General features: G+C 50.7%; 1 protein-coding gene across 9 annotated transcripts in view, besides 4 other annotated features; it reads right to left on the reverse strand.

Moving 5' to 3' along the window:
• RPS6KA2 (ribosomal protein S6 kinase A2) overlaps window positions 1-24,805 on the reverse strand; it is a 453,410-nt gene that overhangs the window by 65,395 nt on the left and 363,210 nt on the right. For all 9 annotated transcript variants that reach the window (XM_047419235.1, NM_001318937.2, NM_001006932.3 and 6 more), the window contains 3 exons: window positions 23,750-23,892; window positions 15,913-15,983; window positions 14,075-14,163 (listed from right to left, as the gene is read on the reverse strand). In XM_047419235.1, the coding sequence (XP_047275191.1) occupies window positions 14,075-14,163; window positions 15,913-15,983; window positions 23,750-23,892 (303 nt within the window). The remainder of the gene's footprint in view (window positions 1-14,074; window positions 14,164-15,912; window positions 15,984-23,749; window positions 23,893-24,805) is intronic.
• Window positions 1,296-1,942: an enhancer, noted in NCBI's record as "H3K4me1 hESC enhancer chr6:166889542-166890188 (GRCh37/hg19 assembly coordinates)". NCBI's record gives its function as "activates a minimal SCP1, AML or CMV promoter by ChIP-STARR-seq in naive H9 embryonic stem cells {active_cell/tissue: H9 hESC(naive)}" and the evidence as "EXISTENCE:reporter gene assay evidence [ECO:0000049][PMID:30033119]".
• Window positions 11,105-11,605: an enhancer, noted in NCBI's record as "H3K4me1 hESC enhancer chr6:166899351-166899851 (GRCh37/hg19 assembly coordinates)". NCBI's record gives its function as "activates a minimal SCP1, AML or CMV promoter by ChIP-STARR-seq in naive H9 embryonic stem cells {active_cell/tissue: H9 hESC(naive)}" and the evidence as "EXISTENCE:reporter gene assay evidence [ECO:0000049][PMID:30033119]".
• Window positions 14,904-15,404: an enhancer, noted in NCBI's record as "H3K4me1 hESC enhancer chr6:166903150-166903650 (GRCh37/hg19 assembly coordinates)". NCBI's record gives its function as "activates a minimal SCP1, AML or CMV promoter by ChIP-STARR-seq in primed H9 embryonic stem cells {active_cell/tissue: H9 hESC(primed)}" and the evidence as "EXISTENCE:reporter gene assay evidence [ECO:0000049][PMID:30033119]".
• Window positions 20,016-20,703: an enhancer, noted in NCBI's record as "H3K4me1 hESC enhancer chr6:166908262-166908949 (GRCh37/hg19 assembly coordinates)". NCBI's record gives its function as "activates a minimal SCP1, AML or CMV promoter by ChIP-STARR-seq in naive H9 embryonic stem cells {active_cell/tissue: H9 hESC(naive)}" and the evidence as "EXISTENCE:reporter gene assay evidence [ECO:0000049][PMID:30033119]".

The following is a 24,805-nucleotide window of genomic DNA, read 5'->3' on the forward strand; positions in this document are numbered from 1 at the left end:
AATGAGAAGCAGCCAACACCACACCCAGGGTCTAGCCCTACAAAGCCTGTTCAGCAGAAGCATCACCCACAACCGCGAGCCTCTCCCATCTCAGCCGGGAGCAGCGCCAAGCACAGAGGGACCAAATGTCCTGCTGAGCCTGTTCCTGCAGAGCTTCATCCCGGAGCCTACCCGTGATGCTGCCTTGGTCCGTGCTTACAGGGTGCAGTGCCGAGGGCGCTGGCCAGGAGCCCCTTTCTCACCTTTCTTTTATTCTATTCTTTGAAGTCCCTGGATTTGCAAATCACTCAGAGTCACCGAGTCCTCCACCTGGGAGGCGTTTTCCTCGCACAGACAAGAAAGCAGACAGCCTGAGCAGGGGTGTGACCCTCCAAGGCCTCTATCGTGGGATGTGCCCCAGCCTGTGGTGCTTCTGCTTAGACTGGGTCACCCCATGCTGCTACAGCCACCCCAGGGTCTTTCTCTAATTCACAACCACACAACCACCAGAACAACAGTGCGAAGAAACAAGACTGGTGTCCCCTCGGCTGCACCCTTGAGAGCCCCCACGCTCACCACACCCACTGCGTACTCCCGAGCGTGGCCCGGCCCCTGGCTGCTCTGTCTCCTCTCCACTCACCCGTCACCCAGGCATGGGGACATTGCAGAGTCACACGTGCCCCCAGGTGTGCCATTCTTCCTTCCTTCCTCCCACTACTCTGCACGTGACGTTTCTTGGGCCCAGAAGGCCCCTCCCCCCACACCCCGTCCAGCATCTGGGACATCTTCTGAGACCCAACCCAGGCGTCCTCACAGAGCAGCTCTGTCGCCCCCACTCAAATAGATCAGTGGCCCCAAACCAGTGGCCTCTGGAGGTCAGTGGCAGTGCCATCCACCTTCCTAAGCCAGCACCTGCTACGGGCATTCAGTACACATTCACTGAACAGATCACACACGAAGGCAGGGGGATTCAGTCTAGAACTCTTTTGAACGAAGACATTTTATCTTCAGGGGATGTGGAGGTGGGAGAAATGCCAGTCTTAGACTCAGAAGCCTAGGAGCCTGGAGCAACTCACACGGGGGCAGAGGGCCGTTTTCTCACCTGCAGAGTGTAAGAGAGGAATGAGATGCGTCTGTATTTCTGGTAGTCTGGACATGTATAAACACATTATGCCATCTCTTCCAGCTGTCAATATCTGTGCAGAAACTCTGGGAGGGGTCAACTCCCCCAAATTTGTATGCTGAAGCCCTAATCCCCAATATCCCCAATGTCTCACAATGTGACCACATGTGCAAAAGGGGTCACTGCAGGTATAATGAGTCCGGCATCAGCAGGGCAGGCACTCATCTCCTATGACTGCTGTCCCTAGAACAAGGGGAAATTTGGACACAGACCCACACGGAGGAGAAGGCCACATGGAGATGGAGGCGGAGGTCAGGGTGTGGCATTCACAGCCAGGGGTGTCAAGGCTGGCCAGCAAAGCCCCGGGGTCTAGGAGCGGCCAGGGACACATTCCTTTCAGTGGGAGCACAGCCCTGCAGCCTTGAGCTTGGACCTCTGGCCTCCAGAGCTGCGGGAGGACACATTTCTGCTGTTCAAGCTGCCCAGTTTGCAGTTCTTTGTCAAGGCTGCCCCAAGAAACTCACACAGAGGGGCGGCCAACGAACAGCTCAGTGTTCACTGTGGTCCGCTGGGCATTAGAGACGTGTGTTTTTATCCGTGTTTCTCGCTACACTGTGCGCACACAGAGGGCACATTTTTCCTTTGATTTCCTAATTTCTAGCTTATTGTTTTGTCCACTGATCCCTCTGTCAACTGGACTGAACGGAACTGTCTGGAAATCCAGAGGCTTCCCGCTGGTGGGGGCTCATTAAGGAAGAGGCAGGGGTGAGGAGGTCGAGAGGCAGAGAGGGTCCCCTCTCTCCCTGGGGGAGGCCATAGAGAGGGAGAGTCTACAGCTCGAGGGGACTCACACTAGGGGAGACACCAAGAGAGGACAGGTGGGAGGCAATGAAGACGCATTTGCTCCTCCTCCCAGCCCCTCAATTGGGCCCTGAGGTCCTGTGTGGCGAGTCCAGGGCGGGAGAGCTCTGGCATTGAGAGCTCTTATCAGACAGGCTCAACACAGGGGCAGCTGGAGGTGTGCGATTGCCTTGCATATCCATGCGAGGGCCCAGGGTTAGAACGAGGCCTCTAACAGCCACCAATTCCCCAGATGGTCAAAGGGAGAACTCAATTCCAGGCTCTTTTGGAGGAACGAGAATAAGGCTCACGGCAGTCAGAAGCAGAGGTAAGTTCCAGCCACAAAACCGGCCGCCTGTGCAGGTGAAGGTGACTCTGCCCAGCGGGGTTTTCAGACTACCTGGCTCCAGCTCCGCAGGCAACTAAATCCAGCGCCCTCCCTGGATAAAGGCTGGGCAATTAATTCTGACTGTAGCTTCTTCATGTTGAGCCTGGGCATCTTAGGTTGTAAAATACACCTGTGGGAGGGTCCACAGCTCCTCGAAAGCTTGATGATAACTCACTTAGACACGGTTTGAAGGGCGATCTTGGCCCGAGGTGAGCCATTCTCCATGCTTGTGTGAGCTTCCAGGGGGCTGGTATCTTTTAACCAATACTCATCTCTACACCTAGGGAGGAGGTAGCTCCATCTTTCTCTCATCCATAATTTAAACCAAATACTAAAACAATATTTTAAAGAACTATGATTTTAGTAATGTTAAATTTGAAGGGTTTTAATTTAAAAAATAGGTTATTTAGAAAATTATTTGCTTCTCCCAGAACAAGGGGAGAAAAAGTACAAACACCCCAATACTTTGTCACATTCACCCAATTTACTGTAGCAAATCCTCTCCCAGCAATATAATAATGTTTGAAAGAAAATAGTGACTCTGGCCAGGCACAGTGGCTCACGCCTGTAATCTCATGTTGGGAGGCCAATGCAGGAGGACTGCTTTAGTCCAGGAGTTCGAGACCAGCCTGGGCAACATAGCGGGGCCCCTTCTCTACAAAACAGTAATAAACTAGTCAGGTGTGGTTGTGCATGCCTGTAGTCCCAGCTACTCAGGAGGCTGACGTGGGAGGACTGCCTGAGTCCAGGCAACTGAGACTGAAGTGAGTCATGATTGCACCACTGTGATCAGCCTGGGCAACAGAGCAAGACCCTGTTTAAAAAAGGAAAGGAGAGGAAACAGTGACTCCAAGACAAAGCGCTTCGATTGCTGCAAGAATAGATCTGAATTGTTGGCTCTCATGTACGTTTGGATGAATAAATACGTCCAGCATCTCCACTTCTCCTTTCTGACTCCAATTCGCATTTCCAGGGGGAGGCCAAGCAGGGGAGGGGTGCACAGCAAACCCTCACGCATGTGGCCCCACAGGTGGTGACTGCGGCAGCTCGGCTGGGCGGGGGCGGTTACCATGCGTCACCTCAGAGGGAGTGGCAGAGGTGGGGTCGCGGTGCCTGCCACCTGAGGCGGCACGTCCCTTGCACATATGCTCACGTGCTTATGTTATAATAAGTGTCCAGATGTCATTTGGGTGCTTGGGAATGACAAGGCAGAGACTACACAGATTTCCATCATAAAAGCTTGGTCTTGAAAGAGGAGTTTCAGCCACCGGCAAGGTTCCTGGCAGCAACTGTGTGAAGATGTTACCCTCTGAGGGATCAGACCCCGGGCAAGGCGGGCATGACTCTGTGCTCTTGCCAGGGTGGATTTCCCGGGTGAGCTTCGGGACTCTGGCATTGGCCTCAATGTTCTTCTGGCTGGTACTGCAGGCTTTCCATTTACCCTTCCATTCTGCAACCAGCTCAGTGGAGGGTTTAACAACATCTATTAAAATGCATCTCACAAAACGATGGTTTTCTCCAGAAAACGCTCAGAATTGTGGCTCCTCGGCTATTGTGCACCAGATAACGTTCCTCTGTTCTGTCCCACAGCCAAGTGGCAGAGAAAGAAAAGTGTCAGATGAGCAGGAAGCAATGAGGCCGGGGGGTTGGACACCCTTCCCGGCCACAGGCCTCTGCACACCGGTGCTCTCTGCTTGTTTATGTGTTTACTCGTCAGACCCATTACAGTGCTTCCCACCCATCAGGCACTGCTCTGCCTCCTCAAATCCTCCTACTTCACGATGTCGGTGCTGGTATTACCCTCAGTTCGTAGAATAAATAAGCAAGCACAGAGAGGTGAAGCCATCCGCTCAGGCCCACACGGCCAGGAAGGGGTGCGTGGCGTGGGTCTGAGCACCTGGCTCTCGCTTCACTTTGCTTCTGTGCCCTGCCCTGGACTCCAGCCTCTCCCACACGCTCCCCTCTCCTCTTTCGCTGCTGCTCTTTCTTCCCCTTCCATCAGGCCCTCTCCCCTCTTCTGAGATCCATTTTGTGCCTCATCTGCTTCTCTGCCCTGGCTGCAGGCATTTGTGCGCGTCTGGGCTGCAGCTGGCCTTGCTGTTTGCTGTCAGAGAGCCCACGAGCATGAGGGCCACACTTTGGCTTCACGGGTCCCCAGAGCCTAGCCCACGAGTGAGGGAAGGCACGGGCCAGACTGCCCATTATCCACTCACACTTGCTCTGGACGAAAGCACCCAGTGTCTGCCCAAGAGCCATGAGAAAGGGGCAGCAGGCGATGCTGGGGACAGGCGGTGGCCCCAGCCACGGCGAGGTGGCAGTGTGGTCCTGCAATCTGCCAGGGGGGCGGCCCCGGCCACAGTGAGATGGCAGCGTGACTCGCCAGCTGCCCGAAGAGCATGGTGAGTGGCAGCATGGTCCTGCTAACTGCCAGGTGAGGTGAGGTGGCAGCCATGGTGAGGTGGCAGCATGGTCCTGCTAACCGCCAGGGGGTGGCCCAAGGTGGGGCGTGTGCTAGCACGTCACAGAGAAGTCTCTGGCATCAAATGTTTCTCCCTAAAACAACTTTTTAAAAACTGGGTTTTCAATCATAAAAATAATACATATTGGCAGAAAAAGTCCATATTGGCATGAATGAGGTGAAAGGAAAAGCTCCCCTTCTGCCCGTCCCTCCGGGGAGAAGCACCCGCTGTAGGAGCTGCTTGCCTGTGTTTGCAGAATTTTTCTTTGCTTACCTCCCTTGCTTCCAAAAACACAAACAGGATAATTCTGAACGTTCTGTGCTGCAATGAGCTATTTTTACTTAACACTTCTTTTTTTAACTTACACATCCTTCCATGTTAGTGCATGCAGAATGGCCTCACTCTTCAGTACTCACATAGTATCCCCTGTGTAGACGACGGTAATTCAGTTAACCGTCCCTGGGTGATGTGGGTTTCAGCTTCCATATCTCTCTGTGCACTTGTGTGAATATATTTGAAGGATATATTATTTGAGGTGGAATTACTTGGGTGAGGTGCATGTGCTTTACTTTTGCAGAGATTTTTCAGGTTGACTTATGAAAAGTGGGAAAAACACACCCCTTCACCCGGAAGTTGGGAAACTGCTCTCCCATCGCCAACAGTGAGGATTGCCAAATGTGTGCCTCTGTGCTAACTTGAGAGGTAAAAATGGGCTAGACCTCCATGAAGACAGTAAGGACATGAAATATCACGAAGAAATGTACAGGTACTGGCTGATTCGAAAGCACAAAAACATTCACGGAAAGCAACAAGTGCCGAACTTTCAATAGCCCCTTCGTAAGACAGGGAGGGCTTTAGGAAAAATCTTCAACCCTCGCTAGATGTTTTGGACCTGACAAGCAAGAATCTTATATTCCTTAAGATTGTGATTTTATATATATATATATATATATATATATATATATATAATATATTTTTTTTTTTTGAGAGAGAGTTTTGCTCTGTTGCCCAGGCTGGAGTGCAGTTGTGCGATCTCAGCTTACCACAATCTCCACCTCCTGGGTTCAAGCAACTCTCCTGCCTCAGCCTCCTGAGCAGCTGGGATTACAGGCACCCATCATCACACCCAGTTGATTTTTATATTTTTAGTAGAGATGAGGTTTTGCCATTTTGGCCAGGCTGGTCTTAAACTCCTGACCTCAGGTGATCCGCCTGCCTGGGCCTCCCAAAGTGCTGGGATTACAGGCGTACACCACCACTCCTGGCCAATTTTTGTATTTTTGGTAGAGATGGGGTTTCGCCATGTTGGCCAGGCTGGTCTTGAACTCCTGACCTTAGCTGATCCACACGCCTCGGCTGGGATTACAGGTATGAGCCACAATGCCTGGCCAATTTTATATACATATCTTTCTTCTAGTGTTTTTCTAAACCTTGATGCTTTTCGCCCAATTTTTCTATAGAATAAAAATTCTATATAAAATTCAATGAAAACAAATAAGTTGGGATTTTTACAAAATTCTGAAATTAAGCTACAGTGAAATTCTGGGAAATTCTCTGCAGGAAAAGAGAATAATTATACATTCATTCCATATTAAAGTATAAAAGAATTGAGTTGTGAATTAAAAGATAGTTCATTTTTCAAGTTTAAAAGGCCAAGTCAAGTACTCTTATCAGAAATACAAGCATAGCTATAGGGAATTTTCCTGAAAAGCCTTTTCAATTTTTAATTAAGACTGAGCAAAGCTCAAAGTGGTCTTTGTTGTTGCAAAGATTAGAAATAAATAAGCCATGAAGGCTCAGCTCTAATTTGTGGCTTTAAAAAGGATACTGATGTCTGACATTGCTCTGGAATCAAGCCAAGGTCCCCTTTGAAATTGAATTAATAGATCTTAAAGTATTTGCTGCAGAGTGGAGGCCTCTGATGAGATAGTAGAGTGTACGTATACCTCTCTGATCAATCTTAAAGTATGTGCTGCAGTGTGGAGAGCTCTGCTGAATTCTCTGATGAGATAGTAGACTGTATGTATATCTCTCTGATCGATCTTAAAGTATGTGCTGCAGAGTGGAGGCCTTTGCTGAGTTCTCTGATGAGATGGTAGACTGTACATATACCTCTCTGATAGATCTTAAAGTATGTGCTGCAGCGCGGAGAGCTCTGCTGAGTTCTCTGATAAGATGGTAGACTGTACGTATACCTCTCTGATCAATCTTAAAGTATGTGCTACAGAGTGGAGGCCTCTGCTGAGTTCTCTGATAAGATGGCAGACTGCAGGTATACCTCTCTGATCGATCTTAAAGTATGTGCTGCAGTGTGGAGAGCTCTGCTGAGCTCTCTGATAAGATGGTAGACTGTATGTATACCTCTCTGATCAATCTTAAAGTATGTGCTGCAGAGTGGAGGCCTCTGCTGAGTTCTCTGGTAAGATGGCAGACTGCACGTATACCTCTCTGATCGATCTTAAAGTATGTGCTGCAGCTTGGAGAGCTCTGCTGAGCTCTCTGATAAGATGGTAGACTGTACATATACCTCTCTGATCAATCTTAAAGTATGTGCTGCAGAGTGGAGGCCTCTGCTGAGTTCTCTGATGAGATGGTAGACTGCACATATACCTCTCTGATCGATCTTAAAGTATGTGCTGCAGCGTGGAGGGCTCTGTTAAGTTCTCTGATGAGACGGGAGAATGCACGTGCATCTCTTTGTTTTGGTGCAGGCACACACAAGTACACTGGAAGTCTTGGTTCTTTCTCATTTTACTTGGGTTGTCACCAGTTTCTGGCAGGAAATTCTGCCTCAGCTATCGGGGCCCAAGAGCCAAATGTGCTCCAAATCTGGGCCCTCGGTGACTGCAGAGATGCCACCCTTTCCTTTCAAATGCAACTGCCCTTGCTGGGGGAGGAATGTCCCAGGAAATTCTCTGAGTAACACTGTGTCTGGGACAGGTATCTGTGCTCCGAGGAAAGAAATAGTTTTCTAAATAGTTTGTTTTTGTCTCAGAAACCAGAGCCAGGAGCAATGACAGGGAGCCACTCAGTTAACGCCTAGAGGCCTTGCTTATTCTGGCTGCGATCACAGAAGGCTTCGGGCGATGATGAGGAAACGAGTGTGACCCTCTCAGGCTGGCTTCACAGGGTTAGCCGTTGGAGGAGAGAAAACCCACCCAAATTAGTGAAGTGGAAAGGTTTCATGAACTTCTCCAGTTTCAACAAGTGAAATCTGTGTGTTTGGGTGGGACTGGAGACAAGGGAAGATGAGGGAGAGGAAGGAGGAGAGAGGGAGAGAGACATCACATCCTATTGCATCTTCCCTAAAACCCAGAGTGCTTCGCAGCCATGCTACAGGACGCCCTCACCATAAAGCAAATGTGGGGGATCATTTTAAATTAGTTGCCTCCCAAAAGGGACTGTTCTAAACAAAGGTGGCCGTGCAGCCTTGACCTTCAACAGGGAGTCCCAACACTTTTCCAATTGCCTCAAAAGCAGAGATTCTGGAAAACCAGATGCAACAAGATGCCCCAAGACTCACAGCCTGAAGACTGCGGGGAGCCTTTGGGCCGATGGGGCCGCTTTTATAGGACATGTTTGTGCCACACCAGGTAAGAGACCACCTGGGACGTCTATGTGTGTGGGGAGAGGACACGCGCAGCTGCATGCTGTCGGAGCTGGAAGGAACTGCAGGGACCATCAACCCCACCTTCATTTCCCAGAGAAAAGGAGGGACAGGGCCCATGGCTGTGCAGCTGGCCACAGCCCAGTAGGGTCTAGAACTCAGAATCCGGACAACCCCCATGCCACTGTGGGCCGCAGACCAGAAGCTCACAGAGCTGGGGCCGTGGCCTCCTGGATCCTGCTCTCACACATCCTGCTGCCACACCAACACCAGAGAATCCACCGCTTCTAGCAGGAGGACGGCCCGCAAACGCTCAGGGGAAAGGAAAAATCAGGCCTGATTTCTTACGGAGTTGGAAAAAATTAAGAAAAGCCCATTTTGCATTTTGAAGACCAAAAATGTCGTGCTAACGAAGAATGAGAAGAGCAGGGCCTTTTTTTCCTCTTTTTAAGATTAAGGGTAAATCGCATCCTCACTAAATAAGAGAAGCTCATACATGGTCTTCTCAGAAACCCACAGAGAAGGAATGGGTTTGTGCTTCCACATTCGGGAAGGGAGGACCCAGGCCTCTGCGACAGCTGCACTGCTCTCTGGCTGGTCGGGTGCCAACTAGAGCCGACTCCTGCACACATAGGGTCCCGGGACAAGCCCTTGTACCTTGGAACAGAGCCTCACTCAAACAGAAAATGATGAACACAATTTTACAGTCTTGTCATGAAGATCGGAGGAGATGACAGGTGCGCATGCTTGGCAGGTGTGAAGTGCTAAGAGAATGCAGGACTGTGCAAGTCACTAGCAGAAAAACACTTTGTGAACAAGAATTCTGGGTAAGCGCACAGAAACAGCATGACGTCCATGTCCACAGGCAGAGCCCGTGCATCTGAGCAGGCACTGCGGGGGCCAAGGCGTGACATGCCCGCAAACCTGTGCTGTCTTTTCTGCTTTACCACTTGACAGGGAAAATGGATAGAGATGAAGCAGGAGCACCAAGGGTCAGGCTCGACTCAACTCCACACACTTCAGGGCAAGGAGCTTTTCAGAGCACCTTAAAGAACAACTACAATTCCTTCAATTCACTTTAGTTCATGCATATTCACCAGGGGCTCTGCGTGGTCCGAGAGCTGGACACAAAGATGAGCCAGACACAACCTCTGCCTTCGTGGATCTCATCACTTAGTGAATACCTGTGGCCGGCCCAGCTGCCTGGCCAGTAAAGCCGCCACTCCAGCCCTCATTTCCTTCCTCCAACCACAGATGCTTGTTCTCCTGCCTTCCTTACGGTGCCATATGTCACGAGTGCCATGAGACAGGGTTCCAGTCAACAAGAAGTACAGAGAACTCCCAGGGGCTTCCAGAAAAGCTTTGTTTTTGTGAAAAAGGGGACAGAGGCAGCTGGCCTCATCCAGTTCCTTTTTCTCCTGCAGTGAGGATGTGATTCCAGGAGGTGTTGTAGCCGCATTGCCATCACAAGGCACCGAGGATAAGGATGAAAAGGCAGTGCACTGAGGATGGGAAACAGAAGCCACAGGAAGATCTGGGCTCCTGACAGCAGTAGTTCAGCTGCCAGTGTCTACAACTCATCCACCACCACGTGGTGTGTTAATAAGAGAATGAAACCGTGATTTGGAAAACTAAATTAATTGAACAAAAAAATTAAAATTATTTAAAGGTTCTATTCCTTGCAGCTAAAAGCAATTCCTATGGATACATCTGTTTTCATAAGTGAATTTCGTAAGTTTCTTGTTTGACCTGCTTTGAAGTACTGTCACGAGAATTCAAGTCAGATAATGACTACCTTAGTGCAGTGCCAAGGCATCTTCTCATCCTCATCAACAGCACCGTGCCGGGGGAAACCTGAGGCTCGAAGAACGACCTGTTCTCCTGGTTCATTAGAAATCCGCCCAGGCAGGGGAACGTCGGAGCTGTCCACCCACCCTCTGCCACCACCCATGGGGCCTGCCTTCCAGGGCTGTGTGGGGGAGGCTGTGCTTACACCCAGCAGCATAGAGAATGAGGGGAGGAGAGCCACAGACACAATAAAGGTGCAACCTAGGGTCACGGAAAAGAACAGCTCTGGACCAGACACTGAAAAGGCTGATGAAATGAGACCAGGGGCTCCAGACATGGGCAAACTTCAGAGTTGAGAGATGAGTGGAAATGGCATGCAAAGATGCTTCTGTGCATTTTGTGGCAGTTTACAGCATTGCAAACTCGATTCTAAGGCAGGCGTGTCCTGAAGTGGGTTGAGATCTGCTGAGCTGGGGAGCAAGCCCCTGCCAGCGAGCCCCTGATCCCCTCCAGCTGGGAGGGTTACTTCCTCCCAGAAGGATTACATCCACATTGCTCTTAGGGCTGACGGACACTGCAATGGAAGGGACTCAATTTAATTCACAATCTGGAAGACTCAGATCAGAAACATGACCTTTGACATAGCATTTGGACAAACCAGGGCACCGCGATGCATTGGCTTAGCTGAGACACGCTTCTCAACTTGCATCTGTCTCCAAACACGCCCTCAGAGTTAAGAAACACCGCCTCCCCCACCTCCCCAGACGCACGGTGATGAACGGGGGGGTCTGTAAACAAAAGGCCAGACCACACCCAGATTTGGGAAAACTGCAGTGAAACGGCAACTTCGGGACACAGGGTGGGACACAAGCCCTTCCTGCCTTGCCCAGCCCAGGCTGTCCCTCTGTCCAAGGCTGCATCTCCCACCACTGGGACCCCACCCTCAGGGGGTGAGGTCTTGCCCATGACAGGCCCTGTGTGGATAGGGACTCTGGGCACTAAGGGTGAGCGCTGAGCCCTTGCTGCGTTTCCTGAGCCGAGTCACTGTGTAACCGTGGGTGTGCACCAGGACCAGCGAGTGAAGGGCCAAGGTGCAGACAGCTTTAGGAGCTGCACATCTCTTGGAAATGTGGCTGTGACCCTGGCTAACGACGACCGTCACCACTGATGAAAAGGAGGAGTCCTGATGACTCTTGGTTGGAATCTCAGGTCCCATCTGGGACTTTGCTGAGGGGGTCCCAGTAACAACAACGTGGCAAAAATTGTTTGGTCAGTAGGTTCCTCTAAGCCATGAACCCCACACACAGCTGTGAGCACACACACACACATGTGCACGCACACGCATGAACACACACACACAGTGCCCCTGTGTGTGCTGCAGCATGGGCCCTCTGTCCTGATCAGGCGTCCTCCCCTCTGGTCCTGAGTGCTCTCCATCCTGGGCCTCCCATCTCATTGTCGCCCCCAGCTGGCATCTCAGTGACTTGGGGCTGCTCTGCTGGGGCCTTCAGCTTTGTCCACAGCACTGTTGGTGAATACCCCTCTAAGGAAGCTGCCTCTGTCTGGGTGACAGTTCCCCAGCCTCTCAGACCCTTGACTGGGGACAGCGCTATAAAATGTGTGCAGTGACCTGCTAGTTAGTTTTCATCCAATGCACTGGACACAGTCCTTTCCACAGACACCAGCATGGGGCCCTGCCAGGTGGCATTGGGGGCTGGGTCCATCGGTGTCTCCATGTGCCCTGGCATGGATGCACTGTGGTGTGGGTGGCACGGGCTCCGCTGCGGGGTGAGTCTACACTCTCCAGCCATGTGGGCTGCAATTCAGTCTAGACCCTGGCCCTTCCATGTCAGTAACAGCAACGTGGAGATTCTCAACAGGGGGACTTTGCCAATGTCAGGAGACGTTTGATCATCACGGGGTGGGGGTGGGGATGCGCTAAACAGCCTCAATGCATGGCGCAGCTCCCAAAACAAGAATTAACCGGCCCAAAATGCAGACGGTGCAGAGCCGTGGCCGAGACACCGTCCTCCAGCCCCAGGCTGTGGTGTGGACGTTTCATAATTGATTCAATGATTTCCTTATTGATTGATGCTTACTTCATCTTCAGGTCTTTGTTAAACAGGAAGACCTTCGGCAAACACCGTTTATTTGTACCCCTTTTACGCAGGTATGGCTATTTCTGTTGGAGAGATTTCTGGAAGTAACACTTCTGGGCAAAAGGGTGCATACATTTAACATTCTGATGGTTTTACCAAGGTGCTGAAATGTTGCAGGGATTTACTCTCCTGACACACACCCACGTGCCCTGGGCTTTCTGGATTGGCCTGCAGTGACTGGCAGACAGTGACGGCAGAACACCCTGTGACATCACCCATGCCACGGGGAGCTCACCGTGTCACCTGCTCTGACGTCACCAGTGCCACGGGAGCTCACTGTGTCACCTGCTCTCCTGGTAGCCACGCTCGGCATGCAGAGGTGCTCGGTGACAAGGAGGAATTGCTTTACTGTGTTGTGTGGAAGAATGAAAACAGGCTGAGTGGACAAAGGCGCTGACAGTGGGTTATCACCGAGAGGTCTGTAGAGTGGAATAAAATATCTGCTTACACAGAGGAGAACTGCCTCGGAAATACAACTATGGGACATCTTTATATGAAGTAAAGAATTACTATGAAGATGAATCTGCAGGAAGGAAGAGTGGTTTACGTGATAAAAATCTGGATTAGAAGTTGGATGTAAATGTGTTTAATTAGGTGAATACAACTATGACAATTCATTACAAGATGAATCTCATGGGGATTAGTACTCAGTACTTTAAATACATCAATGTTGATTTTTAAAAATCACCTTAACTCCTTTTTTCTAAGATCACAGTTATACTTCAATTATCTCACATTGTGAAATATGACTGTGGAGTAGGAAGGTACTTTTGATTAGCTTCACTTTCAATCACTGAAGGATTGCAAATGAATGCAAAAGTTCCCTGCAATGGAAGCTGATGTGGGGAAGAAGTTAAATGGGTCCTTCTTTCTTTGGGGTTAAGGCATGCAGAGAGGAAAATCTAGTATTTTTTCCGAAATGAAGTATTTCCTGATTTAACTTTTGCCTTCCCCTCTGGTATGTCTTCTATCTATGAGGTTAGAGTTTAAAAAAAAACAGAATTTAATGTGTTCCTTTCGTTTTCTTGTTAAAATAACCTGAAACACCCTGCTCCAGTTGCTGTCTAAACCGTAAACACCCTGCTCTAGTTGCTGTCTAAACCGGAAACACCCTGCTCTTGCTGCTGTCTGAACCGAAAACACCCTGCTCCAGTTGCTGTCTAAACCGGAAACACCCTGCTCCTGCTGCTGTCTGAACCGGAAACACCCTGCTCCTGCTGCTGTCTGACTCTGAGACAACACGGCCGCGCCAACTCGCTAAGACCGGCCCAGCCCACGGAGTAATCCTCAATACGCTGTCACATACACGAAAAGAAAATCAATCAGTAGTTAAAGTAGATCCTGATTTTAATAGATGTGGAGGTTTCTCAATTTAGGGAGAATTAAATTAGAAGCAGCTTTTCAACGGTTCTGTCCTTAGCTTAGAGACTTTCAAAACTCAGGGAAGTCAGATTGGTTGAAGGATACTACCATTTTGGGTAAAACCAGTGGCTTTTAGAAAACAGCTTATGGTATTTTGGCAGCAACTATGTGTTTTAGAAGCTGTGAAGGGGCCTTTTTTCCTGGAGCTCAGATGGCACTGGTACTATTTCAACCTCTAGGTGAGGTCTGTTTTCAGTGACCTTGGTTGGCATTGGGCCGGAGCAGGAGGGTGGCCCTCCACATCTCCACTGTAGCTTGCGGGGCAGCGCCCTGCACGTTCCCGTGGTGGGGTGTCCCGGGGAATCTTACCCAGCCGGTTGCAGGGGTTCCGTTTGAAGAGAGCTCGCAGCAAACTCTGTGCCTCCCCACTGAGGAACTGCGGCATCCCCAGCTTGGCTCTGAAAAACAAGATCCTATTTTAGGATCTATTTTAGGAGAACAAGGACAAGCTATAAAGAGGGCCCCAGTCAGCATTCAGAGACCTCAATCGCAGTCACCCAGAGCAGCCCGTGCTCTACCACGTGGGTCTTAGGACCCTTTTATGCTTTAAAAGTTACTGAGGACACCAAAGAGCTTATGTTTATGTGGGTTACAGCTGTGATATTTACCACAGTAGAAAGTAAAGTGAGAAATTTGTATAATTTCCATTTCCTAATTCACTTTAATAAATTTTTATTAATAAACATTATTTAATAATAAAATCATTAAAAAACAATAACACTCCCATTAACACAAATAACATTGTTAATGGAAATTATCTATGTTTTCTCAAACATACATATAAAAAAGTCTTTAGTGGCATTGTTCTGCACTTGGGTGCGTCTCTTCCTGGCTCATAGGAGACAGCTGGACCCTGTGCTCGGTCTGTTGCGATGCTATGAAGAAAACCTGCGAGAGGAGGACCTGCAAACCCCGGGAGGGTCTCAGGACCACCGGAGTCCTCAGAGCACACTGAGAACCCCACGCGCAGAGCCTAGTGCTCCCTCCAGAAATTCTCCATCCCTCCCAAGTGGAATGCCCTGAGGCCACACCCGTGACTTGCTGTCAGGGATTATTCCAGCTTTAGCAAAAGTAAAGAACATGTCCTCCCTTAAAATTCAAACAATGAGAATCACTGCAAAGGTCCTGACTTGCAGCTCTCAGTGTCTGCTGCAATTCAAGGTCCCTTGATGGAGGAAAAGGCTGATTAAATAAAAAGACACTCCTTAGCTTGACAAAAGGGTCCTCACAATGGGGCTTCCTTCACTCCCCTCTCTCCTTCCATCTACATAAGGACCGAGCTTACAAAAGCTGAGCTGGTGGTGTTTTAGGTGATTCTCAATTTTATAAAAGTTATGTGTCCATTTGCAAGCAGAGTTGGCAAGAGCAGCTCATGAGGACAAACAGCTTTATGACTCCTCCACCGAGTGGCCTCACTTAGGAAGGAACTGATTAGGGGCTCCCAGCCTCTCTGTTTCCTGCCCTCCTGCTGTCTGCTCTGGGACAGTGATAGTCAGTGGTGTCTGCTCACATTTAGGATGCTATGGCAAGGTGGTATGGGGATCAGGCTTCTTCCTACAGTCCAAGAGCAAAACCTTGGCTTAGTAAATGATTTTTCATGAGAATTAAGCAGAAAATGGTTTGTATCCAGTCACATGGTAAAACGATACCGAGTCCTGCCAAGGTCAACCAGGAGTGCTATATGAATGGGGTCAGCAGGTGGGGAGGGAAAGGAGACCCCTGCTCCTGTGATCTCTCCGGACAAGGCCCTGGAGGCCTTGTGTCTTTTTCCGTCTATCCTTTACTTCTGGGAGGTCACCAACCATCACGCTTGAAAACCAGCCACTACACATTCTAAGTGACTTACTGATGGAAAACTATCTATGGTAGAAGAGTTCATCAGAACCACTCAGCAGGATGAGACAAACCAGCAACTGCTCCCTTGACCCACTGTCATTAGAATGCCCAGCACCCTATTACCACTGCTACTGGCGGACGAGCGCTACCATTTTGTGTAAAACCAGTGACTTTTAGAAAACAGCTTACAATACTTTGGCACTGTAAGCCTAGCAATGTAATTAAAACTTCACAGTTCCAGGTTCAGAGGCAGCAGCTCTTGATATCAGAAGGTGCTCGCAGGTCTCTGGGGTGGCTCCCACACTACTCACTTGAGGATGAGAGCCATGGTCTCCTTCCTGTCCTTCCCCTGGAACGGCAGGGACCCCGTGAGCATCTCAAACTGCAGAGCAACACAGAGCACAGTGAGTTCATTCATCCAGATGGACCCGGCTTCACGGCAGAGTACCCCAGCAGGGCAGCCTGCTACCGTGTCCATTTCCTCATGCAAAATCTCCATCAGTCAATTGTAGCCACTGGCCTACGTGCTTGGGGTACAACAGTGACTAAAACTGCCTCGCAGAGCTTGCCATTTGGTGGGTGAGACGGGTAAATGACAGATGTGGTAGATAATCACACTCTGTGGCAGGCCAGCAGGCCCCGAGTACGACAGAGAAAAGAGGCAGAGCAGGGTCCTGTGGTCAGGCAGTTTGGACGAACACATCTTACACGCGGTTTAGGAACCTGTCCTGCCCTGGCAGGTGTTGTGGAAGGGATGAGCTAGGAGGAGGAGGAGGAGAACAGCTAGCTCATGTTGAACACCCATGCATGCCTGGATGGTGGGGGCTAGAGTGCTTCCAGCATGAGATAGACCTGACCACAGCCATTAGCCTCTGACGAGGACAATATGGCACAGCAACCTCTCAGATACAGCTGCCGCACCCTACATCCTTATTTTGTTATTACTGGACACCTGCCAGGACGGAACTTGAGATAAGGAGGGGATGGAGCACAGCCTTGTCTGAGCATGGGTTTCTTTCTTGCACCAACTCCCCCGGGCACATGCAGTGGTGATTACACACACTCTGGAAGCAGTGGCCTGGAATGGTCTCATCAGAGCAAGGTGCACAGCTGACCGCTTCTCACAAAAGAAACTAGGGCTGCAGCAGGAACCAATCTTTTCATAAAATAAGACCCTGAATCTAAGTGGAATGTGCCCAAGGATCAATCCTACTCGGTGTCTTTCACGTCAGTTTAAATTACGGGGAAGCAGGTGTTTCCATGGTCTTATTGAATTCTCTCTCATCTTTATTTTTTGCTGCGTGTGTCTCTGCCCTTTTAGAATTCATCCTCCAGCATTCGTCCTTTGCAGTTCGAAAATCTCAGGAGATACACAAAGTAGAAAGACCAAAAAAATCACGCAGAATTCCATTACCCAAAGATATCCAAACTTAACATTTGTTAGTTCCTCCTAGTACTTTTTTCAAGCTGTTTTTTATTTTGTTTTAAAAACACAGATAAGGTTTTGTATACTAACTTTTCACAGAATAATATAAAACTTTCAATGGTTATGATGAAATCTTTGTAATATCACTTAACAAACATGGATATGACAAAATGTATAGTGAGTGTATTTGTTGCTGTACACTTAGGACATTTCCAATTTTCTGCTATTGTAAGTACTACTGAAATGTGCACAGATGATTTCCTAAGATTTATTCTTATGATAGGCTGCTAGGAGTGAAATTATAATCTTAAAGAAATGAATGCATTTAAGGTTTTATTAATATTACCAGTCTGCTTTCTGAAAACAACATTATAAAAGAAATGGAAACTCTTCCACCAGTTCTGACGTTTGAAGCCTGTTCTGTCACATTAAAATGTGCTGTCCATCCGGTGCACAGAGTAAGTGAGGGAACTCAGAGCAGACAGGCTGCAGGCAATCAATCAATACAAAAGTAATAAAAAGCAAGCGGAAGGGGGTCCAGATGAGAACTGAAAAAGAGACAAGTGTAATTAAACAGGAAAGGCCAGAATGCTCTGACTGGCAGATGAGCTGTTTGTCTGGTAAAACAGGATGAAAGTTTATAAGCTGATCATACACACTGAAATATCTCTCAGAATAGAATGGTATTAGCAAAGGGAACTCCTTTCCTATTCTGCTCTTTCTTCTTTCTTTCTTGAGTCTATTAATAGCACTATGAAATCCCATTTCCAAGGACAAGCCTTCTGGCTACATGAAATGAGAAAGCTGTCATCCCATACACACCGTTTAATCCTTGTTACACAAATGGTGCCTGTCCAGATGCCCGGATATCATTTATTTTTTGCTGATGGACTGGTATCTTGCATACATTTGTTTGGTGATTTCTTTTTCTTTTCTTTTTTTTTTTTTTTGAGATGGAGTCTCGCTGTTGCCCAGGCTGGAGTGCAATGGCACAATCTCGGCTCACTGCAACCTCCGCCTCCTGGGTTCAAGCGATTCTCCTGTCTCCACCTCCCGAGTAGCTGGGACTACAGGCGTGAGCCACCATGCCTGGCTAATTTTTGTATTTTTTTTTTTTTTTTTTTTTAGTAGAGACAGGGTTTCACCATGTTGGCCAGGCTGAACTGGAACTCCTGACCTCAAGTGATCCGCCCGCCTTGGCCTCCCACAATGCTTGGATTATAGGCGTGAGCCACTGCGCCTGGTCTGGTGATTTCTTTTTAGCTTTTGAAGATGATTCCCTTGTGATCAGGGTCCACTGCTTTGTGGTTCTCTCTCTTCCTCCCCTTCTTCCTCCATCCATATGGTAGGAGGTCCCCAACCATCTACTCAGCCAGAGAACACCCAGCACAGCACCCATGAATATTCAACAACTGCTTCTTGGTGATGAAGGTGCTGCTGACGGTGGGGATGATGCTGGGGCGGAGGTGTGGACTTTGCAGCCTCCACCAGCCATGGGGTTCTGCTGCCTTTCCCATCCCCTTATCCACCCTTTTCTGTGGAGAAGGGAGATCATTTCAGTATGATTGTCTGAATGGAGCTGCCCGGGAACTTTCCAGTGCCGAAGCATTACTGACTGAGGTTTTGCTGATGAGTTTCTTGGGACGTTATTTACAGTAAGACTTTTGCTGTGTTGCTGAGCAGCACTGAGACTTGCCAAGGCTTCCGGGGTGAACTGAGAAAAGCCGAGGTTCATCTTGGGGTTCCCACAGTCAAGTACACGCACCGGGGGAGGGAGGGCACTCCAAAGGATTCTTTCCCAATCGGCACCGAGACCAGGCTGCAGACAGGCACAGAGGGGCTCAAGGAGATGTAGCCAAAGCTCCACCGGGTGCAGGCCCGATGCTTCTGGGAAGGTAATTGGACAGACATAACGCAGTGCTTCTCAACTGGGGTCACCGTTGCCTGCCAGGGGACATTTCCGGCTGTCATGCCCGGGAGCCCTGGTGCTACAGGCGTCCACTGAGGGAGGCACAGATGCTGCTAAACATCCTATGACACACAGGGCGCCCCACAACAAGGAAGTGTCCAGTCCCGACCTCAACAGTGCTGGCTGAGAAGCCCTGTCTAAAGGGACAGCTAAGGAACCTGGAAAGAGTGGCGGCCCCGGCACAGGCAGGATGCGCCTCATGGAGGCCAGTGGTACTGGGGGCAGGGGAAGGAGGAGACTCTGGGGAGACCCTTGGTGACAGGAGCCTCGATTTCAAGTTTACTTGGCCGATCACCATTCTTAAAAGGGCACCAAAAGCAAGCTAACATTTTAATCTGAAAACAGGCGAGGACAAGCCCTGACCTGAGATGGATGACTTGAAGTGGTAGAGGGCCTGGCTTTGCAGGGTATGGAGGGGCTGGGTCTCGGAGAGCTGTGTTGATCCATGCCCATGTGTGGAGGTCCCTGTGTGCACAGACACATGCCCTCTAATCCGAGCTGCTCTCGCTCCGTGTGCTGCACCCCACTCCGAGTGCCAAGAATCTCAGTCTCAAAACAGCCTTGGAAGGTGCCGTTCCTCACAACCGTCTACAGATGAATGGTCCAGTGGCAAGCAGCAGAGCCTGAGCTCAGAACCATCCGTGTTTGCTATGGTGGCATAAGGACACATCACATGGCACCTGAGGCGGGATGTCCAGAACATTCCGTGCCCGTGGTTAAGAAACGGGAGAAGGATAAAGTGGTCTCACGAAACCAGAGTGCTCAAGAGATGCTTTAGATGTTTACAAAACAGCCCAAATATCCTTCTAGAAACTGGCTCCAGCCTGGCGTAGAGGAGTGCTGGAAATTCTACAAATGTCACCACGCAGCCGGCCACCAGGTTTGCACGTTCTTCTCCAGGTACCAGCTCCTAATTTCAGACACGGAATTTTATTCAGGGACACTGACTTCCTGCCCCTGGCACAGGCATCCTTCCTTCCAGGTCTGGGGAGGGCACTTGTGGATGCTGCTCCTCGGGAAGAGATCCCAGCACACATCCACCTCCAGGGGACGGACGGCCACCCACACATGAGGACCACTCCCTCAGCACGCGGCCTCCAGGGTCTCAGCCTTCTTTTAAAACAAGGCCCCTCACACGCACAACGGCTCTGCACCGATCCGCTTACAAGGCTTGGGTAAGATACGACTTCAAAGGTCACCCGAGGCCCATCTCTTAGCTGCAAATGAGAATTCAGAAGTCACTTCTGATGCCACCCACGGACGTGTGGGAAGCGTGGGGCCTCCACAGTCAAGACCTTTGCCTGTGTGCAGCCAGTCACCACGTGGGCGGGCGGCACTAAATGAGAATGTGTTTCTGGGACTATTATGTGATCTTGAGCCCGACACTTAGGCTCTTTCAGCTTTAGTTTTCATTTCTGTGCACAGAAAGAATACCGTCTTTCCTGCCCGGCTTGGAGATTGTTGGGTTGAGATCAAATGTGAAGATGGCCAGGCAGCCTTAGCTTGTGGTCACCACGGCAACAGCCAGCCCTGCCTCGGGCTCGAGAGTGACACAGCAGTTCTGGAGCCGGACCCCTTCCCCAGCTGTCACGAGACATTGAATGCGGGACGATCCCAGCAAACAAGTGAACAATTCAGTAAGAAATGTCCTGTGCCCAGGGAGGCACGTGGGAGGAGAGTGCCTGCTGTGTTGACGTGCCGGGCAGCGCTGGGCCAGGCCTCCTTCAGAAGCTCTCAATATCATCTTCTTCACACTCCAGGGACAGGGAGGGTGGGGACTCCAGGATGGGTGAAGGCTGCCGGGCACTGGGTCTGGGTGTGAGTGCCTCTCTGCTTCCACCCTGTTGTCTTCACTCCCTCATGGGTCCCTTGGAGGCCTGGCCAGGTGCAGGCACTTTTGTCTGTGCTGGGGCATCTTGGGTAAGGTGACTGGTGTTTAAGAAACTCCACGTGCCAGGAGACACTCACAGAGACAGACAACGACAATAAAAGATGGCAGACGTTAGAGCAGTGGCAAGCCAGGAGTGCTGAGAAGACACCGAAGCCAGAGCCACCAGCCAGAGCCACCAACCCGGCCAGGGTCAGCAAAGGCCACTGGGAGTGGTGCTTCTGTCTTAGGGCTGATGGTGGAAGGGGACCGGGGGGAGTTTGCTGGAGCAAGGCGAGCCCGACGTGGTCTCATTTCCTCTTCTTCTGGCCCCTCGTCGTGTCTCCATCTTTGGATCATTCCTCTTCTGTCTCTTCTGTTCTCCTATTTCTTTTTCTTTCAGCTTCTCCATTTGTCTTTTCGGTTTGCAGTGATTAAGACCAGAAGAACTGGGCGTGGTGGCTCACGCCTGCAACCCTAGCACTTCTGGAGGCCGAGGCTGGCAGACTGCCTGAGCTTGGGGGTTCAAGACCAACCTGGGCAACACGATGAAACCCTGTCTCTACTAAAATGCAAAAAAAATTAGCTGGGTGTGGCGGGTGCCTGTAGTCGCAGCTACTTGGGAGGCTGAGGCAGGAGAATGGCTTGAACCCAGGAGGCGGAGGTTGCAGTGAGCTGAGATTGCAACACTGCACTCCAGCCTGGTGACAGAATGAGACTCCATCTCAAAAAACAATAAAAAATTAAAAAATAAAAAGAAAAAAAAGAAAAAAAATTAAATATATATTTTATATTATGAGATAGGTTTTATGATCTGTTGCCTTAATAGAAGAAACAGAAGACTATCAAATCTCCCCTCCCCCTGTCCCCCCAGAAACCTCACAAAACTAAGTCCAGTTGGTTTTGACTTATATGTGGTGTTTTGGCTGTGCTTTTCTCTGCTAAGTTACTCCTCTCCACTCCAGCCTGGCCTCTTGTTCTTTTTAAACATTGGTTCACCTGAGAGCCAGGTGGCAACATTTTATGACCTTGTTCATTACACAAAGGCTGGCCCGCAGTACTGCTGGATGGGCCACTTGTGAGCCCAGAGTTATAGGACAGGACCCAGAGACAGAAGGATGCCAGGAGCCCTTTCAGGGAGCCTGGATGTGCAGCGTGGCCAGCCCTGCTCTCTGGGGGAATTTGGGGTTCTCAGGAGGGGGTTTAAGAACTGGAATCTCTCCTGAAGCCACAGACTATAAGCTTGGACCCATAGCCCAGCGTCAGCAAAGGCAACATCAGACTTCCCTGCACCGGCAAAACCTGCACCAGCGTGGGAGGTCTCCACAGGGCTATCCCCGCTGCCCTCACCCACCACTCACCAGCCAGGGTCACACAGGAAACCCACACATGTGGAAGGGAGTGGACCTATCGAGGCAGAAATCACCTCCAAGACGGCAAAGCAAACCTGCCTCACTGACCTATCTAAAGAAAACCTCTTTCAGTGGAAGGAAAGCAGAGGTGGTCTCAGAGGGGTGACCGTGGGGGACTTAGCTCTGTGGTCTCCGCATGGAGAGGACCTGCTCCTTAGCCAGTGCCACTGAAGGTCTGAATAATAGTAAAAAATAAATCAGCAGCATCATCCTCTTGGCTGAGCTCGCGGGCCCCTTGCTTTGCTGCAGGCATTCTCTCAAGTGTCGTGCCTGTGCTCACGTGTTGAACTGCACGACTGTCTGTGTTGTGACTCACTTTACAGGCAGGAATGACCAGGGACGGAAGGGGCTTCCACAGGAAGGAGTAGCCACAAACGTGATGTGGGCATCTCCGACTGCGAACTGGCTTTCTGGGTTAGGCTGTGGGCCCATCTCCGGAGCTGGTCTAATGTGTGTCTGCCCCTCGCGGAGAGGTGAGCAGCCCGTGCGGGCACGTGGAACACAGCCAGGGCCTGTGAGCTCCCGGGGCTGAGGCCGGAGCCTGGAGAGTGCTGCAGTGACCCAAGTGGCAAAGGACCAGCGAGGCCCTGGGCACCAGCCGGGGGTTCTCCAGGCGACACCGCAGGACTCAGCCCTGGGGTTCCCTAGCAAGGGGACGAGGAGTAGGGTGTGGTGGGAGGAGAGGCGGTCAAAACTCTGAAGGGAACTGGGTTTGGCAGGCACACAGTTCTGCCACACGCCAGCGGAGCAACCTTCATCCCGTCTCCTAAAGTGCTCATGGCCTCAGTTTCCTCCTGTGTGTGATGCACAGGCCGGAGGGCGGGATACCCCTGAAATGCCACGACCCGATTGTCATCCAGGTCAGATTCCAGAGCACTCACTGCACGCCTGCTCCACCCTGAGGTCACCAGCCCCCTGCCCAGCTGGGAGAGTGGGATTGGGGGAGGGAGGGAGGGTCCTGTGAAGATTGGGAAAGGAGCCCACACAGTTCCTAGGGCGGAGAAGACCCAGTCCAAACTGGGTTCTGTTAAGCACTCTGCCTGCGAAAACGCGACAGAGACAATTCACATTTCCAGACGCTGATGCAAAAATGCCTAACTCCGTGTACATCTCAGTTTGTAACTAAGCGCAAGGATTCTGTGTCTAAATAAGAAAAATACTTTAACTCGAAAATCATGGCATCTCTTGTAATCATCACGCTAAGCCCGAAGAGCACAAAGCATAAAGAGGGTTCGACTCCTCCCACGTCTGCGTTTCTGCGTTCTCGTTTGCATCCCAGCCCCACTTTCTGATGGTGGGGATGTGGGATGGGGAGGAGGCTGCCAGGAAATGCTTGGCCTGGACACTTGCCCAGTGTCCCAAGCCCTCAGGCACTGCCTTCTTCCGCATTTCGGGACCTCTGAACCAACCTGGGGACAGGGGTCCACGTGGGGAACAGCCGCCATGGCACAGAAGAGGGTCGGGGCAGGCTCACCATGAGCACGCCGAAGGACCACCAGTCGGCACTCTGCGTGTGTCCTCGCCGGTTCACCACCTCGGGCGCCATGTACTCGATCGTCCCGCAGAAGGAGTACGCTCTCTTGTCGTGGTCAATGGCCTCCTTACTCAGGCCGAAATCTACATGCAAACACAGCACACACACTGCCTCAGTCTCTGGGTGTGTTCGGGGGTCCACACTCAGGCGGGCATCAGCGTCCTTCTGTGGGCTCTGCCCCCTCTCCAGGTGGGCGCAGCAGAGCCCTGCTCAGCAAAAGCGGGACCATGTGAGTGCTTCCCGAAGCCCGTCAGTGCCCGAAGCCCGCCGGTGCCTGAAGCCGAAATCCTCAAAGCGTGAGGAGTTCCTTATGAGTGTACACACTCAGGAGCGCCTTGGAACACCACCCAGACAGCAGGTTGTCAGTCAGTGACGGGAACTCCCCCAGACCCTTTTCCACAGGCACGTGGAGGTGGGGTGTTGCAGGGCAGAGGGACCTGGGGTGGAAGGCAGGTGTGTGGCTGACAGCTACTGGGAAAGGGGCTCTGGCTGCCGGGGAGCCAAGGGGAAGGCAGAGTGTGGCGAACCTGCCCTGCCCCGACAACACGAGGGTGTGGAGAGCACAGACAGGCGGAGGAGGCCTGGGGAGCAGAGGCCGAGCTATGATGGAAGAACAGGGATCTCCAGGTGCCACAGAGCAAGGAGGGGCTTCTGAAGGAAGTGGCCCCGGGGCTGGAAAGAACAAGAGTGCATTGGCTCAGGGCCCCCAAGTCTTGGGGATGACAGAGCGTGGCTAAATAGAGCCAAGGCAGGCCCAGCCAGTGGGTAGAGCAGCAGTGCCCAGAGAGGCCATGTCCTTGCCCCTGAGCCTGGGAATGGGCCACCTTATGTGGCAGAAGGGACTGATATGGTTTAGCTGAGTCCCCATCCAAATCTCACCTTGAATTGTAAGAATCCCCACGTGTCGTGGGAGGGACAGAGTGGGAGGTAACTGAATCATGGGGGTGGGTTTTTCCAGTGCTATTCTCGTGACAGTGAATAAGACTCACGAGATCT

Source organism: Homo sapiens, chromosome 6, assembly GCF_000001405.40.
Source record: "Homo sapiens chromosome 6, GRCh38.p14 Primary Assembly".
NCBI lineage: Eukaryota > Metazoa > Chordata > Mammalia > Primates > Hominidae > Homo > Homo sapiens.